The sequence below is a fragment of the Homo sapiens genome, chromosome 18 (genome assembly GCF_000001405.40).
Source record: "Homo sapiens chromosome 18, GRCh38.p14 Primary Assembly".
NCBI lineage: Eukaryota > Metazoa > Chordata > Mammalia > Primates > Hominidae > Homo > Homo sapiens.
The window spans coordinates 14,405,627-14,410,064 of NC_000018.10; the positions used below are offsets into that span (position 1 = coordinate 14,405,627).

A 4,438-nucleotide genomic window follows, 5' to 3' on the forward strand; every position below is an offset into this window, starting at 1 on the left:
ACCAAATGAATATCATTTCTCAGTCCCAAGCCAATGCTTCTATACCTGTTTTTTTGCAATGTTTAGTTGGACATCTATAACGGCCTTCCATGAGGCAGCCTACTGTCTCTCAGAGCATGATAAGGAAGTTCCTTGGGTTAGATATCTTTCTAGCCTGAAATATTACAATTTGCATTTCAGCCCATTGAATTAGACATTTTTGTCTTCAGATAATTTCTTTGGAAATGCAAATGTTCCTCAAAGTGTAGCTACCTATTGGGTCACTGAAGCTTTAATATTAGCAGGTTTGCTGGTTCGCTTTCTTCAAGGATAGTGGATATTTTGCCAAAAAGGGAGAATAGGAAGCCAGAGTGGAAAGAGGGGAACAAAAACAGGGATGGATACAAGGGAAGGAGATAGATGGTATTAGCATTTACTACCCCATCATTATATGTACCTTGATTTGTTCCTGGAGTTGCTGAAGGATGACTCAGTTTCCCTTTTCTTGTGTAATTCTTTGATTCAGTTGTAGTCTGACTTTTGAAAGCTGACTGTAGAAAGAGGAATATTTCGAAAAATAGGCAAAGTGATGTTACGGTTTAAAATCATCAAGTGGGAAATCCAAAACCACGGTTCTCAACCTTAGCTACTCATGGAAACCACCTGGGAAATTTTTAAAAATACTGATGGATGGGTTCCATGCCCATAGACTTTTAAAAAATTCTTCCAAAGGATTCTGACATCCTAATCAGGGTTGAAAGCTACTGCTCCAAAGAGCTTGACATAATCAAATGAACATTTATCAGGTGTTCACAAGGTTTAGGAAGGCCCAGCACAAAGCAAAACCATAGAGACGTTGAGTACTCTTTTGCTTCAGCATTCAGCATCCAATTCCAACTCCATGCTTTTCCTTACTTCCAACTTCCATTTTTGCCCCGAGCAACCTGTGCAGGAAACCATCAGTTTCCCTGCTCCACTGGACATCTAAAGACTATGGTGGTGATAGAAAATGAGAGTCATCAAAAAGGTCCAAGTTTAGTGAAGATGCGCAAAGGGAACCAGCCCTTCCCAAAGAATTCAGTGAATGAGCCAAGATTCTCCAGAAACCGCTCAGCTTTGCAGTGATAATTTTCTGTGAAGACATAGACTGAAATGGGAATAAGAGATAGAAAGTTGAAAAAGAATTTTCTCAGAATCCACATGTAACCTTACAGAAGGCAAACAGAAGGGTTAGTGAGATAAATGGAATCACGTAGCTGAGGTGAGACAATGTAGGAAAATCAAGCATGAGATAGGAAATCAGGATATTGTGCTTCTTTGTGAAGACTCGGTTCCCTCTAATTGCTCGTAAACCTAAAATCTCTACTTCATTCTTTGTAACATTTTTCCTCATTTCTTTCTGGAATTTTTGGATTCCATGCTTTTTAAGATGGCTTGAGAGAAAGACTTATCAGAGTCAACCTAACAGGCATTTATTAAGACACTACCAGGGGTGAGACCCTGAGTAAATGATTGTCAAATTTGAATATGTGGTTAGAAACACCTGAAGGACTGCTGGGCCCCACACCCAGAGTTTATGATTCATTGAGTTTGAGCTGGGACTTGAGAATTTACATTTCTAGCAAATTCCCAGATGATACTGATATTGCTGTCTGGAGGCCACACTTTGAAGACCACTGCCTCTAGGAATGGGAAAAGAAATTAGATACCAGCAATCTGTCCTTAATGAGATTGCTTAAGGCTTTGTATTAGGGATGTACTTTGTCATGGAACATGTCATATAAATGACAAACTGAGAACACTGGCAACATATTTTAAAAGTAAAATATAGTACAATACACGCCAGAAGTTCTGAGAAGGATAAATAATTAAGTAGTGGTGAGGCAGAAGAGGCTAATTAGAGATGACAAAGAATAATACAAAAACCATGGGCCACAGAGCCAGGGGTGGCCTGGAGCTGAGCTGAGCTTATTAGGGGACAACTGCATAGGTGGACCTAAGGGCAAAACTGAAGGTTTTAAATGCTATGAAGCGTAGGGCCATGCTGCTGGTGCTAATTAAGCACTGAGAACTACCTTTCATACAAGGCTGAGATCTGTACATGAGAGCTGAAACAGCCTCTTGCTACTTGATCATGAACATCTTCAGTTAGATCCAGAAAGGGTCTAGTGAGGGTAGGTGGGTTACTCAAAATCCCTAGTGTTTAATTAGTTTTAGTTAGTTGAGACTGATTGTGATGAAACACAACATTTAACTTTGCTATCTCCTAGGCAAGTGCTGCCAGAAATAAAAAGTCTCCTTTTTACAGAAAAGAGAACATGGAAAGGCGGTCCAGAGTTCAGTCTCAAAGGCAATGCTGGGCAGGGACTGACAAAGGGTTGAGGAGTGTCCATTAACCTGGGTATTGGTGATGGAAAGCATATCCTGAAATTGGAGATAGCAAGACTCTTGGTGAACTGTTGAGTAGACTGGGTTGAATTCAGTGAAGGATCTAAAGGAAAAATAAAAATATTAATGCTTCTATGTAGTTTTAAAAGTTGTGACCATAAGATAGCAAGTATAATCACACACCAAAAAATGACTTTTCTGTCCCAAGTGAGTGGTAGGCTTCAATGTAGTCACCCAGAAAACATTAAATATTTGTCATATGTTCAAGATACATTTTGAAACATCTAAGGAAATAGAAATTATCACTTTGTTACATGTGCATGTAGGTGCACACACAGAGTATTACTCAGCGAATTTTTTCAGCTTTATTCTATATAATTATATATTTTTTCCAGCCTTATTCTGCCTGACTATCCAGATTTTACACTGTTTAGATCTGGCTGTTTCCAAATTGCACAAACTGTCTTGAACTGAAATGGACAGAAGGCAGGCAAATACTGGTAGAAGAGGGCAGGATCTTTGGCAAGGGCTCCACCCACAAGCCTGGACCCACAGCCCAAAGTGAGAACTATCCCTGTTTTCCCACCTGATTGTTGCCTTTTGGCCCACCCCACACCACCCCCTATCCTGTGCCCATAAGAATCCCAAGCCCCAGACTCAGTGGACACACACACAGAAGAGAGAAGTGTCTGGATATTGAGATGAGAAGAAGCAGCTGGAGGTCAGGGACTATGGTCAGAGAGGAGTTCAGCTGGAGACATCTGGGCTTCAGGGGAAGATTATCTTCCTGCTCCATCCCCTTTCCAGCTCCCTTTCCTACTGAGGCCCACTTTTACCACTCAATAAAGTCCTCCACATTCACCATCTTCAATTTGTTCATGTGACCTGATTCTTCCTGGACACTGGATCAGAACTCAGGTACCAAGACAGCAAAGTGTAAAAGGCTGTCACCCTCACCTTCCACTGAGCTGGTTAACACTTAGCCATCCACAGACAGCAAATGTTAAAGGAGCACTGATTGTAACACAGGCCCTCTGGGGCTCTGGGGGTCGCAGACAGCCCCTCCCAGACCGCAGAGCTAAAAGACCATTGTAACACACTTTGACACTGCTGCAGAACCCACACAAAGCTTGCTCCCGCCGGAGAGGAGCCACAGGCCAGTTCCACATTCATTTGCTCTGGGTCCCACACCCATCCACTCATGTGCTTCCTTCCATAAGGGATTCAGCATGGTAAACAAGTAAACAAGTCACTCATGTCACAAGTCCCGCAAAGGGGTCAAGGGAACACTCTTGTTTCAGAACCACTGAAGAAATTCAAAGAATCTGTGATAAGCTTCTTAACAGTGCCCTGGGATCTTGTGATTTCCCAGGATAGAAATCAAGAGAGATCACCAGAGGCAGCAATGAAGAGAGTTTATTACCTCTCAGGGAGCCAGTCATGAGAGAACAAAAAGGAGTGGGCTGTTCCCCGAAGATACTGTGTGGTTCGGTTAGGTATAGGGTCTTTCCATAGGGAAGGATTCCCTCAGGGAATGTATAGGGGGAGTTTTGCTAGCACCTGCACAATGGCTCAACATGTTTCTTCATACATTTCATGTAGCATTAGCATTTTAAATCTCCACCCCTGGGCATGAACTTTAGTGTTAAAATGAGGAAAAGATAACTTTAGGTTGGAGTTTAAGTCTGACTCCACATATGGGACTCTGGGAAAGCCTCTAGCCCCCTGAAATAGAAATTTGCAATTAATAGCTTCCTTGGTCTTTTATTGCTGATTGGCTGAGAGTTAGACAAGCTAGAGCTTGAGTAGAGGGGCTTTTATCCTTTTCCTTCAGACAATCTTAAGATAGGGAACCAACCAGTCGGCCTGTCTCAGGCTCTAAGGAAAATTCTGAGAGGTCAGCAAGAAACCTAATATTATAAACAACAGTGCCATCAGCACTTATTTAAATATATAAATATAAATTTTAAAGGCCCTATTAAAGTCATTCTGAGCCTGTACATTTAAACCGTTCTAAAGGTTTACGGGTATTTAGATACGAGAAGAAATTAGACCCAAATTATGCATCAAT

At 41.6% G+C, this 4,438-nt stretch overlaps 1 long non-coding RNA gene across 1 annotated transcript; it reads right to left on the reverse strand.

The window, feature by feature from the left end:
- Window positions 1-251: 251 nt before the first annotated feature.
- On the reverse strand, window positions 252-2,706 carry LOC105372003 (uncharacterized). Its single transcript, XR_001753364.3, has 2 exons — window positions 2,377-2,706; window positions 252-530 (listed from the first exon to the last, which is right to left on the reverse strand). It is a non-coding gene; the product is annotated as an uncharacterized LOC105372003 (long non-coding RNA).
- Between the last annotated feature and the right edge of the window lie 1,732 nt (window positions 2,707-4,438).